Genomic DNA, 13,886 nt, shown 5'->3' with positions numbered 1-13,886 from the left:
TTTTCCACAGCTGATGTGGGGTCAGGATTAAGTGTTCTGACTCTTATGTCCAGCTGCCTATGTACCCTGCTGTCTAGGGCCTCTTGTGCCAAGCGTGCCTGAAGCTGCAGTGCTGTTTTCCCTTCTCAGTCAGCTTTCTCCTCCTAGTTAGTTACCCTGGTCAAAAACCTTGGTGGTTCCAGGTATGAAACCCCACATTGGATACATTATCGAATCCCATTGACTTTCCTTTCAGAATAGATCTAGAGGTGACTTCAGACCTCCTGTGCTGTTACCCTGGTCTGAGCCACCATCTCCCCCTGCCCACCTCCCCTGCCTCCTCCCCCACCCCCTCCCCCTGCCTCCTCCCCCACCCCCTCCCCCTGCCTCTGGTGCCCCCACAGTCTTTTTTCAACCTAGAGTCAGAATATATTCTTTTAAAACCAAGTCACTCTTTTGCCTAAAATCCTCCAGTAGTTTCCCGTGTCACTCAGATCCAAGCCTGTGTCCTCGCTCTGCAGAGCCTGCTGGATCCGGTGTCCTGCTTGCCATCTTTAGCTTCTGTTCCTGTCCTCCTTGCTCATCACATTGGCCTCCGTACTGATCCTCCAACATGCCAGTCACACTTCTTCCTGGGGCTGTTGAACTTACTTTTCTCTCTTCCTGGAATATTTTTACCCCAGGCCTCCACAGAGCTTGTCCTCTATTTCACTGTCATCTTCTGGGTGAGGCCGGTTCCCACCTGTGTTCTGTATTCCTTAGGCCCCTTACCCTGCTTCATTTCACTGCCCAGGACTGGCAGCATCTGACACACTGTGTCTTTTACCTGTTTATTTGTTTATAATCTGTCTCTCTCCAGTACAGTATAAATTTCATAGCAGCAAGGACTTGGCCTGTCTTGTTCACATTGTATCTTTGGCACATAGAACAGTACTTGGTGCATCGTAGGTGCTCATTAATTAAATACTTTTTTTTTTCTGAATGAAGCAGTAAGTAAATGAATGAATGGATGACTAAGACCAATGGACTTTTCCATTATCTCTCACTTTGTATTCATTTGGTGTTAGGTAAGTGGGGTTACTTGGTGTCAGTGGATCTTGTTTGGTTGAAAGGGTACTTGTACACTTAGGATAACTGAGGTGAACAGTTAACAGTTTGCCTCCGTTGCTGGGTAACACATGTCCTGGTGGCAAGCTGTTACCTAGTAGATGCTTTTAGTTGATTTGTAGCATTAATATACAGACTTCCCTTAAGCTTAGTGGTCTCCCAGAGATAATGGAACAATCATGAAAGTAATTGTTCATTTTTAGCATTCATTATCTTGTAATGTTTAACTACATTTGAGTTTTACTGTGTAATAGAACCAAATCCTACTATTCTTGTTCTTTGTAGAGAAAAAAGTGTGTGAATATATTTTTTAACTTTTTCATCCTTTGTTTTATTTCAGAAAGTCTGGAGTTTTTACTTCAGCTGAATTTTTTAATATTAGCTGAAACTGTTACATCAGTTGAAGTATTACTTTGGACAGTTATATTTCATATTTTCCCACATTCTTAGCAGAGTATCACTGGAAGGAAATTTCGGTAATACCACTTAAATATACTAATGTTGTCCTATAGAAGGAAACGGAAGCTCCATCCTGAGGCCCTGACCTCACTCTGGAAGTTCCAAAGCCTTCTGCCTCTCCTACCTTCTTCAGCTTCCCATTTCCATCCTAGGGAAACAGGAGGTTCTTTCCAATTCGTGTCAAGGTATCCCAGACTTTCCTAGGGCCCAGGAAGTGGTTAGATACTGAAGCTCCATTAATACAAAGTCAACAGATATTTAATAGTTAAAATGTCAGTAAAGATGTAAGTGAAATAGTTGTGTGAATCACCCTAATTGTCCTGAACCAGAGATTTATGAACAAAATATGCTGTTAAGAAAGCCCACTGCAGTTACCTCCCTGTGCACCATTGCACTGTTTTTGTTGTAAATGCTTCCTGCACAGTCGTTCCTGCTGCGGAAGGGTGAGATATGCCCTTTCCCATCAGTCTTTCTTGTCTCCCAGCCATATACCTGCTGCGTTGGACTCATATGTCTGTTTTGCCCTCCAATTTGCATTTCTGAGCTCTCTTTAATCTGCTCATCCCTTACTGAACTTTTCCTATAATCCTTTCTTATTTTCATCCATAACATACTCCTGCATAGTTCCCTATGATAATTTTGTCTTCTGTCTTTCTGTTTCTCCATGTGCTACGCACCGGCTGATGGGTTGGACCAGAAGCCTTGGGACTGCCATCCACTTAAAACAAAGGGAATGTGTTGAGCTAATGACCATCAGGAAATGAAACCAAAATATGATGAAGCATTTCTATAAACCAGTCACCACACTGATAGTGTATTAGGTGCCAGGTACTGAAGGCACAGAAATAATTAAAGCTGTGTTCCTAACTGTTGAGTAGCTCATGGGTTTTTTGTAGTAATAGAAAAGTAAACAAATCATTACAATATATAATAAATGCTTTCAAGCACAGATGAGAAAGAACAGATGGGAGAGAGTATAATTAACCTACAGAAGGAATAATAGATCTTGACTGGACACTTAGATTCAGTTTATTTGATATTTTAAAAATATTTATTGGCCAGGCACGGTGGCTCACACCTGTAAGTTCAGTACTTTTGAGAGGCTGAGGTGGGTGGATCGCTTAAGCCCAGGAGTTTGAGACCAGCCTGGGCAACATAGCAAAACCCCGTGTCTACAAAAAATTTAAAAATTACCCACGTGTGGTAGCATGTACCTGTAGGGTTAGCTGCTTTGGAGGCTGAGGTGGGAGGATCACTTGAGCCCAGAAGGTCAAGGCTTCAGTCACCCGAGATTGCACCACTGCACTCCAGCCTGGGTGACAGAGCGAGACCCTGATGAAAAAGACATTTTTTTACATTTAGCACATATTTTGTGCCAGACACTGTGCTACATGCTGGAGATTCAGTGGTGAACAAGACTGTTAGGTTCCTTGCCTCATGGACTTTCTTAAAAAGGGAGAGATTTTAAAACAACCACTGAGATTTAATAAAAAAAACAACTATGAATGTGAAAACACCTTGAAGGAAACAAACAAGGACTAAGATGAAATGAAGAGTATTTGCGTGCGCGCGTGTGTGTGTGTGTTTTTGTGGGCACAGGGGAAGCTACTTGAGATAGAGTTGTCCAGTGGGCCTCTTGTGTGAAGTGACTCTTCAGCTGATTCATGAAGAGGGAGGAGTAACTTATCCTTGTAAAATGCTTCGAGGAAGAGTAGTCTGGGTAAAGGGAGCAGCATTTGGAGAGAGGCTGGAGTATTCAGGTCTGTTTCCTGCCTTCCCTCCCGCTCTGTTAGAGCATGATTCTTGGAACCAGCAATACAGCTACATGTCACCTGTCCTCCTAGCTACACGTCACCCATCCTCTCAGGTACATGTCACACATACTCCCAGCCACACCTTACCCGTCCTCCCAGCCACATGTCACCCGTCCTCCCAGCGCAGCTTACTTTCATAAGAGTTTCTGTGTCCTTTGCACCTGATGGAATAGAAGTTGCATGTGGGTTCAGGGGCCCAAGTGGGCACAAGAAGGACACTCAGAGCACTTATTTGCATTTTTTTAACATCTTGTCTATGTATACCTGACAGCTTACTGTGTCACTGAATTGACAAAATAAATGTAATAATTATTTTATCAGTTGTTACTATGTTTTAAGGTGACGTGGAAATTAGAATTTAGAACTGAAGAGAATTTTATAACTCACCAGTGAGCTAAACTATGAAAAGAATTAGGCAGTGTGAGAAAAATGATTCTCTCCCCCAGGGAAATGGAAATTATAGGGCATTTTTATCATTTTCAAGGGCTTGAAGGGTATCTATCTTGCAAAGCAGAAATAGCAATCGGGTGTTCCAAGCCACCTGGGGGATTAGGTTGGTTGAAGCATGATTTCCTGAGGAGTGAGTATGTAAATGTAAGAACTGACTTTTTAAGGGAACCTAAGAGAAATCTCCTCCCTTAAGCACTTCCAGTTTAAGAACATTTGTCATTGATGAGACCTTCCCGTTAGTTGAGGAGAATGAGCTGTAGCTTCTCAAGGGCCCAGGTCTGTGAATCAAATTTCCAGTGGTAGGAATGTTTAAAGCAAACCCTTGCTGCCGTTTGCTGACCTTGTGAGAAAGACACCTCTGTTTGCGAGAGGCAGCAGTTCGAGCTTCTGCACTGAGCGGTGTGGACTGCTGGAAGAGAGCAGGTCAGAACTAGACCCACGGGGGTCTAAGCCTCCCTAGGCTGGGGTCCTCTCCCCTCCTGGCCCCTTTCCTTGGCAGTGCATGGGGTGATGCTGCGTGCGCCACACTGTCCTCAGGATTCCGTGAAACATGTTCTCCTCTGCATGTGTATAGAGCACAGTCTACCTTGAGGCAAAACACAATTTTCTGGGTTTATTATATTATTGTTTCAAAAAATTAAATAACTTCTGGTCAATTGTTCTTCAGTATAGTTTGTAAGCTAATGTAATAAAGGATAAAAGCCTTCCTGGTGGTTTTATTTATTCTTATTTTATTTTATTTATTTTTATAGAGATGGAGTCTTGCTGTGTTGACCAGGGTGGTCTCAGACTCCTGGGCTCAAGCGATTCTCCCGCCTCAGCCTCCCAAAGTGCTGAGATTACAGGCATGAGCCACCGTGCCCAGCCTTAACTGTTTTTTAATACTGTCTGTAAGCTAATGTCATCTTTAAAGGTTAAGATGCATCCTGGTGGTTTTCTTATGTGGATGTGTTTTTTCCTTTCTAAGTTATTCATTCAATTATAGTAATTATAAGATATGGGAAAATAATGCCATTTTTTTCTTATGATTTTAAAGTCCTTTTTCCTTTAAAATACATCATGATTTCAGTGCCTTAGATGGCTGTGTTTAGAGTCTGTAACTCCTGGGTGCCTAGTTTTTAGAATAGGGAGTTGAGAGTCTGTCCATGATATGTTGAAGAAAGTACTGAGCAGAAAGCAGGAGACTGGGGCCACATCTCATGCCTGCGTGCTTCTTACCTCCGGGCCTTGTTTTCTAATGTGTGAGATGAGGAGGCCAGGTTAGATCACTGGGTCACTGGAGATTTCTTTTAGGGGTGGAGCCTTTTTCTTTTGTTTTTCATTTTTTGAAGCCTCGGAGAAAGTCCAGATCCCCATCGCCTATGCTGTCCTCAAATACATAACTTCTGAGTTATTGCTGAAATCCCTTGGAGGTCTTTTTTATGTTAAAAATTTCAGGATTTGTAGTGATAAAAGCAGAATAAACTCTTAACTCATATGTCATAAGTATTGTTTTAACTTTCTTCTTTTAAAACACTAATTTTTTTTATCTTGTCACAGCCCAATGATGATCATTACTCAGAAGATCACTAGTTTGGCTTGCGAAATTCATGATGGTAAGAATTCTGAAATTAATTTTTATTGCTGAAAAAATTTAATTCCAATAATCTTTTGCTTGAGATATTGCCATAACTTTCTGCTATTAGAGTAAGGAAATGGAGGGAGGTAAGATAGGGAAATATACTTAACTGTGCTTAGGATTATGAAAAATGCTTGCTTTCTTGCTTTCCTTCAGTGTTTTATCTTCGTTTTGAATTCAGTGCAGTGACAGTAGAATAGTGTGATTTAGTCATATGGCCCACAGTAGTGATAATTTGACATATAAAGGAAAGAGACATTTGGTCTAGATCAGGTTTTATTATTTCCTGCTTCAGCTCCTCGTTAAATTTTTATTATAATTTATGTGCCTTCCCCCACCTCTTCTCCTTGATATACACACATTCATAATTACCTGTTTCCATGTATTTTTATTAGAAATATTTCTGTCTTCAGTGAGTGGACATCTAGTCCTGGCCTAACAGGACTCTGAGTCGTGAGATTTGGGCTCTGATTCCTTCGAAGACTGAAGAAACGAAGCATCCTTGTTAGAATGGTCATTTGTATGTAGCCTGCGGAGCTTTTGAGATGAGTTTGAGCCCTACTGTGTCTCCACCCATCCTGTGCCCACTCCCCGGGCAGGTTTTCCCTCTTATTGTCAGAGAACCAGCCTTGACAGTACAGTGCAGAGAGAGAGAGAGGAGAATTTTTCCTCTTGTCCCCTCTGGCTACTAACAAGCAAAATTAACACTTAGTTTTTTGAGGGGGTGGTGGAGGGAAGGAGGTAGATTAAAAACTCTCTGCTACTTGTTTAATCAAGTCTGCAGGTTAAACAGCAACTATCTTTCTGCCCTTCAGAAAAAGAAACACCACTGAGGGAAAATTCTGCATACAGGAGGGAACATGAGGATGTGGTTGGAGTGTGGGTTTTGATGGATGGGCAGATGTACGCTCAGATTCCAGTTCAGCTTCTTACTGCTTCAGTTTTCTCCTTTGTCAATTAACAGTATGATTCAGCTTGGAGGGTTTTTTCTTGGATTATAATTTATGCACAGTGTCTTGTAGTTCTTGCATTGTGATCAATGAAGTGGGTGAAACTCACTCGACCCTGTTACTAGACTGTAGTTATAATAAAACTTACACTAGGAAACACTGTAGGTAAAAGCCTATAATTATCTTCAGGTGCTAGAACTTCTGTAGTATGCTGGTAACAGATTACTCCTGTGACACTGGAAAGAGAATATAGGAAAGTCGTGGATCAAGGATATAATTTTGTCCATAGATCTAGAAGTATCTGATGACAATATATATATTCAACTCAGAAGAACAACAAACCCCATTTTGTAACCTGTTCTTTTAAATGGATTTAATGGTAATTATCTCTTTAGAACAGTTTAGATTGTGATTAGTCTTGGCAGCATTTGAGGAGTTCATACACTTTAACTTTTCAAACTAGGTTCCTCTTCCAGTTTGCTTCAGTACATCCTCTGAGACAGTTTGCTGCAGGCCTGCCACATCCCATACCACCTACCCCTTTATTCCCAAGGGATAGATTGAACCCTGTCTAAGCCATATTTTCTCAGCTAATCTTTCAGAGAAGGGCCTTATTATCTGTGTATTGGGGGACCCCAAGACCACTCCCAGTTTGGTGATTCACAGGACTGAGCATGTAGTTGAATTCAAGGCTAACATTTATTACAGTGAAAAGATTCCAAGCAAAGTCAATAAAGTACAAAGGTGCCTGTAATGAAGTCTGGAAGAAACCAGGCACAAGTTTCCAGAAGTCCTCTCCCAGGGGAGTCACAGAGAACGGACTTATTTCCCCCAGCAACAGATTGTGACAACACCTGTGAAGTGTCCATCAGGGAAGCTCTTTAGACGCTCAGCACCCAAAGTTTTTACTGGGGGCTGGTCACATAGGCCCCCGCTGCCTAGCGCACACCAAAATTCCAGGCTCCCAGAAGGAAAGCAGGTGTTCAGAATAAACCACATTGTTGGCACAAATAGGCTAGACATAGGGGACATTTCCTATCGGTGTAGGGGACTGTGGACCAGCCAAGTTCTCATACACCAGCCGTGGGCACACCTCATAAGCAGGCCTTTCTAAGGATAGCATTCTCAGAACTATGTTAACTTGTTTCTGCACAGCCTGGTTCAGGACCACCCCTAGATGAAACCAAATAAATTACCTACAGCTGTGTCTGTTTTTCAACTATCAATCCAGTGGCATCATTCATATTTGCATCTTCAGGAAGCAGGTGTTATTTTATCTTTGGGTATTTCTAGGCATGGTTTTTAAGACATTTCATCACCCTCATATAATAGAGCCTGCTTGCCTTTCTGGCTTTGAATCATGTATATGAGATTGCTGAGGGCTTAGGATGAATGACTAAAATAACCTGCTGGCATGTTTGCTCATGAAGTCTGGCTTGTACTGTGGCCTTTAGGGATAGTGTAGCTGGTTGTCTTGCTGGCAGCTTCATTGATGTCACCTCACAATAGGAATACTTGAACCTAACAGAATGTTTGTACAGGTTGAATATCTCGTATATGAAATACTTGAGAAAAGTGTTTCCGATTTTGGATTTATTCGGGTTTTGGAATATTTGCATACATGTAATGAGATATCTTGGGACCCAAGTCTAAACACAGAATTAATTTGTTTTATATATACCTTATACACATAGACTGAAGGTAATTTATACATTATTTTTAATAATTTTGTGCATAAAACAAAATGTGTGTACATTGAACCATCAGAAACCAAAGGTGCCACTATCGCAGCCACCCATGGAGATAATCAGTGGTTGTTTGGCATCGCCATGATTCCTGACTCCGAATTTACATGAAAATGATAAGCAATCATTTTCTTTTACCTATTCATACATAAGTACTAAACAGTGGAAGATACGCCATTCCATTAATTCAGTGAAAAAATGGTATGTTCAGGGTAACTAAGCAGCAGAGTAGAATCACTGGACTACCCGTATCAGCTGTTAGACACAGCAGCAGTGGCAGGCTTTCAGTCTCCACCTGCAATGTGGTGTCATGCCAGGGCTCAGAAGTCTTGTCATACCCCATTGTTTGCTGCACTGCCTCACTTGGACTTGGTTAGACTTCTAGCTTTAAAAAATGATATCTTGTCTTTAATTGGTTTTTGTTGATTCTTTTGGCCAGTTCCCAAGTTTTGAACTGAGAAGGAAGGCTGGGTTTGTTGTGCGTGTAGACTTTTGACACAAGTTTGTTCTATGCAACTCTATCCTTTAAGCTCTGTGTCTACTTTTCTTGGTTAGTTTACACTTCGAAAGCAGTAATCGCTTCTCTGAGCAACATGGCAGACTGAACTGGTGTAGAGGCCCACCCTATGCCAAACACTTGGAAATGCTGACTAAATATAATGACATAGTTTATGTATGGCAAAGCTTGAAATCACAAAGAAGGCTATTAACATGTCACTTGCCTGGTAAAAGCATGAGGGAAAAAAGGATAAGGAGTTTTTAAAAATTGAATACTTATCCTCATTTCTAAAGATGGCTCTTTTTTTTTTTTTTTAAGGAAAAGGTGGACAACATATATCTGATATGGGGGAAGAAAGTAGAATTGTCACAAGTAGGAATTACCCTTTTTTGGGGTTTAAATCCTGATAATGTTTTACCGTTCTCTAATCTTCGATCATCTTTTTTTTTAAGTGTTTTTTTCCTCCTGATTATAAAAAGTAGGTATGTGATCATTGAGGAAAATTTGAAAAATACAAATTGGAAATACGAAGAAAAAATAATCTTCCATGTCCCTCCCCCAACATTTCTCAGAGCCAGACTTTTTTTTTTTTTTTTTTTTTTTTTGGCTGAGTCTTGGCTCACTGAAACCTCCACTTCCCAGATTCAAGTGATTCTCCTGCCTCAGCCTCCTGAGTAGTTGGGATTATAGGCGCCCGCCGCCACACCCAACTAATTTTTTTTTTCTTTTTTTTTTTTTTTAGTAAAGACAAGGTTTCACCATGTTGGCCAGGCTGGTCTCAAACTCCTGGCCTCAGGTGATCCACCCGCCTTGGCCTCCCAAAGTACTGGGATTACAAGCGTGAGCCACTCTGCACCTGGCCCCTTCTTTTTTATTAATATTTCCTTTATCATCTTATGAGGCATGGTTTTCTTTTTACATAATTGTCAAAAGTGGAATGTGTAATATATTCCCATTCCCCAATTGTTGCATATATAGGTTGTTACTTTTTTTCTGCTATTACGTATAAAGTTGTGATGATCCTTGTCATAAATCTTGAATCACACCTTCAGTTATTTCCTTAGGGCTAGAGTTGTAGGAATAGAAGGTAGAAAGATTTCTAAAGTGTTTGCTATACTGGTTTACAGCAAGATGATGTGAGTTCCTCTTGGTACCTCATTTATTTGTTTATCTTCTGTCTCCCTACTAGAATATAAGTGCTATAAAAGCAGGGAGTTTGTTTTTCGTCTGCTCTTTCCTCAGTGCATAGAATAGTTCCTGAGGCATTTTAAGACAGTAATTATTTTCTTCTCATCTTTGTTTTATATACATATAAAATACATAAAATGTGTGTTTTACATAATTTAGATTGTATTATATGAGTAAGAGCCCTTTAAAATTTCTGCATACTTGTAATAGGTGAAAATGGCATCTTGCTCTTTTAATGTACATGTAATGATTTATAATGAAAACATTATTAATCGTGAAATTAACATTTCACGTTAGTTGGCTACATGTATTCTACGATTTGTCTTTTCATGTTTTTAGTTTTGTCTATTTATTTCACTGTTTTTTAATTGCTTTAGCTTTGGTTCTTTGGGGGAATATTACTACTTTACTAATATTAGTTTATTAATTTATTAATATTAATGTTGCTATTTGCTTTTTAATTTCATTCCCCTTTGGTCTTTAAATTGGATTTGAGGTATATATTTTTAAAGCATATGGATCTAGTAAATTGATGTGTAATCTTAAATAATATATCCTCCTCTTTGAAGAGAAACGTAAATAGATGGATGAAGATGATGTATTTGAGTTTGGTTTTCATGCATTGGAGTCATGGAGGAGTAAGGAAATTGCTCTTTGCTTTAGGTTGATCTTCTAGTTTATAGTACTCATGTGTAGTCATTTAAGTCATCCCATAATAGAAAAATTGTAATGCCCCTTTTCGAAAAGTCATAGCATTTACGATTAAGGATAATAACATTATAATTTTTAAAGTGCCAGCATTTGGGAATTCTTTAATTATAACTCCCCTTAGAGTGGAGTCAGATACCCAACCATGTGTTATTTTATAGAGACTTTTCACATGATCGAGGCTGTGTTGCCATGAGAAGGAAAGGAACAGTCATTATATCAAAATTAGGAATATAATAGCATGAATTTCAAATGAGGAAAGTAATGAAAGTGTGCATGGGCAAAAATGCCATTTTGGGGAGAAATCTTAATTGATGAGTACCTATTTTTGTTTCTCAGGGATGTTTCGGAAGGATGAAGAACTGACTTCCTCACAGAGGGATTTAGCTGTAAGGTACGTGCCTTTGCATCCTATTCTGCCATGCTTCCTGCGCCCCTGCCTAGGACCCACGTTCCTTCTGTGGCTGAGGCTGACTAGTCCTTCTAGAGGTACTTACTTCTGAAAATCAAGCCTCACTCTCTCCATGCACTTCCCTCCTGCCAAAGCCTGCTGGGCAGGCCTGGGCATCCCTTCTAGGGCTCCTGTAGCACCCTGCCTCTGCGATTGTACATTTGCGCCTCCTATGGGCCACGAGGTTAGCTGCTAAAGTTTTCATCCCTATGAGACTCTGAGTTCCTTGAAGACAGGAGGATAGTATTGTCTTCATGTCTGCCATGTAGTAATTACTGGTAATAATAGCAGCTACCATTTACAGGCCAATAACTTGATGGCAGGTACTGGGCTAAGATATAATACATTAATATAGCACATCGATGCCATATTTTGAAATAATAAAGAACCAGTCAGATAATTCTCATTATTATTTGAGGAATTCATTCTGGGATAAGCTTCTACTTCATTTATTAAAGGCACTCTGATGACTAATCTAAGGAATGGCTTAATTTCACAGTGTCTATCTCAACTAATATAATTTGAGATGGAATACTCATTATACTTAAAGAAAAATTTCCCACAGATTACGTTGTTTCCAAATCTAGAATGAATAAGTGCATAGCTGCTAGAAGAATGAGATTGTTTGTGATATTATTTAGAACTACACTAAGTATTCATCTTTCATCCCAAGTAGCATGTCTTGGGGGTCTTTTTGTATTTTCCTGTCTTTAAAAATGTTCTATTCTGATATCCCCTATAGTCAATCTTTATGTATCAATAAATAGACACTTGAGTAGCTTTCCTGACGAGAGGTTGATTTGGTCTTGGTTCTTTGATCTTTAGGAGCCCTTGTGCCATCCCAGTAGCTATTCATTTACAGACACTCAGCTGCCATTTCCCCTGTGCCTCTCACATCGAGAGCAAATCCCCAGACCTGGGTAACCCCACCTCTTCACCTACCTGAACAGGGGAAGAATGCTGAGTAGAAAAACACTGTCTTGCTGACTGGACTCATTTTGAATTTATTACCCCAATTTAAAATTAGGATCCTTAGTATCGCCAGTAGTACTGCATTTCCTCAGTCCACTCACTTGCCCACACTCTTCTAAGATGATATAGTCTCCTTCCTCCCAGACTTCTAACACACCGTCCCCCATACTCATGTTGGTAGCAAAATTTTATTTTTTGGAGAGAAAAAAAAGCAATCCTACTTTGATTCTGCAACCACCAAATCTCCCATGCTGCCTGAATCTATAACACAGTGCTCTACTTTCTTTCCTGGTGTCAAGTACTAGCTGTCCATCATCTAATCGAAGGCCAGCTTCTCACTGCTGCACGGAGTTCACTTCCTTCTCAAGGATTTAGCTGCGTCAGTTACTCCTGCCTGTTCACTCACTGATTTCTCCCTCTCTGTTGGGCCATCCCCACCACCTGAACAGAACAAGCTCATGACACCTCTCATTCCCTTCTGGCCATCACCCCATTACTGCATGTTCCTTTAGAGGAGCACTTCTTGAAGGCTTTGTCGACATTCAGTGTCTCCCCTCATTCTCCCCTCAGCCCCCTGCATTCAGGTTTTTGTGCCCACTCTTGGTCTGAACTCATTCTTTCAAGATTGCCCTTAATCTTGGCCGATTTCACTGTCAGCCTTTTTACATGATGCTGAACCTCGCAGCATTGGCCAGTTGGCCACTCTTCTGAAATACCTTCTTCACTTCCTTCCAGGACACTCCCTTCTTTCAATTTTTCTCCTCCTTCACTGGCTCTTTCTCTCTGTCTCTTCTGCTGCATCCTCTGCCCCTGCTTCTGCCTTACCACTAGCCTGGCCTCAGCCCTGGACTTCGTTTTCTCCAGGTGGTCACATCCATTGGCTTGAAAGGCCATCTTCGTGTTTGAAGGCTCCTTAATTTATATTCCCGCCCAATCCACTCCCCTCGGCTCCAGCCTCATTTATCCAACTGCCATTTCAAGGTCTTTGTATGGATAGTGACAGGCAGCTCGAACAGAACATGTTCAAAACAGAACTTCTGATTTGTCTCCCTCCTCCTTCCTCCTCCCGCATCTGTTCCTCCACCATTTTCACCCAGTTAGCTAATAGCAGTACCATTATCACTGGTGGCTTGGGGGGACTTCCATTTTCTTACAGCAAATCCATTTCACCAGCAAGTCAAGTTAGCCCTTCCTTTAAAATTAATCTCTAATCTGACTGATTTTCACCTCTTCCACCCGTCACATCCCAGTACAAACCCTCATTTTCTGCTTGGTCTGCTGTGGTAGCTTTCCTTCCTGGCTTCCCTATTTTCTCCCATGCCCTGTGCAGCCTACTTTTCAGCTAGCAGCCAGGGAAGCTTTTAATGTGCATTGGATTATATTACTCCTGTCCCCTGATGAAAATCCTCCAGTGGCTTCCCCTATAATTTAGAATAGAATTACAAACCCCTGACCACAGCATTATAAGGCCCAGGAAGAGCCCAGAGCTCGACCACGCTTCCTCACTCAATTCATTCTTAACTGTGCAGCTCACTCTATCAAAAATACCCCTCCCTTCCTGCCATCACTTTCCGTCCCTTTGCTCCGCTTTGTTTTCCTCATAGTAGGTATTACTGTCTGATGTTATACAAGACATTTGTTTTAATTGTCCCTCTCCCTGCCCCTGTCACTGAGGACAGGAACTTTGTCTCATTTATTGTCCCCATCATCCAAACCGTGGTCATTATTTGGAGTGATTTCGCCTCCAAGAGTCAGCTGACAATGTCTAGACACTTTTGGTTGTTACTGCTGAGGCGGGTGGTGCTACTGGCGTCCGGTGGGTAGCGCCTAGGGGTGCTGCTAAACACCCTGCACTGCACAGGGGACCCCACCACAGAGAATCATGGGCCCAAAGTGTCAATAATTCTGTACACGAGAAGCCCAAGCTTGAGACAACACATAGTTGA

The 13,886-nt window shown here is 41.1% G+C and overlaps 1 protein-coding gene across 13 annotated transcripts in view; it reads left to right on the top strand.

Annotated features, from left to right (window-relative positions):
* MBOAT2 (membrane bound glycerophospholipid O-acyltransferase 2) overlaps positions 1 to 13,886 on the top strand; it is a 150,995-nt gene that overhangs the window by 110,263 nt on the left and 26,846 nt on the right. For all 13 annotated transcript variants that reach the window (NR_135601.2, NR_135605.2, NR_135600.2 and 10 more), the window contains 2 exons: positions 5,349 to 5,404; positions 10,857 to 10,911. Coding sequence is in view for 4 of the 13 variants with exons in the window: in NM_001321265.2 (NP_001308194.1) it covers positions 5,349 to 5,404; positions 10,857 to 10,911 (111 nt within the window). In the remaining 9 variants the exon portion in view is untranslated. The remainder of the gene's footprint in view (positions 1 to 5,348; positions 5,405 to 10,856; positions 10,912 to 13,886) is intronic.

Source organism: Homo sapiens, chromosome 2 (assembly GCF_000001405.40).
Source record: "Homo sapiens chromosome 2, GRCh38.p14 Primary Assembly".
Classification (NCBI taxonomy): Eukaryota; Metazoa; Chordata; class Mammalia; order Primates; family Hominidae; genus Homo; species Homo sapiens.
Note: the sequence above shows the minus strand (reverse complement) of the source record. Positions and strands in the feature narration are given on the sequence as shown.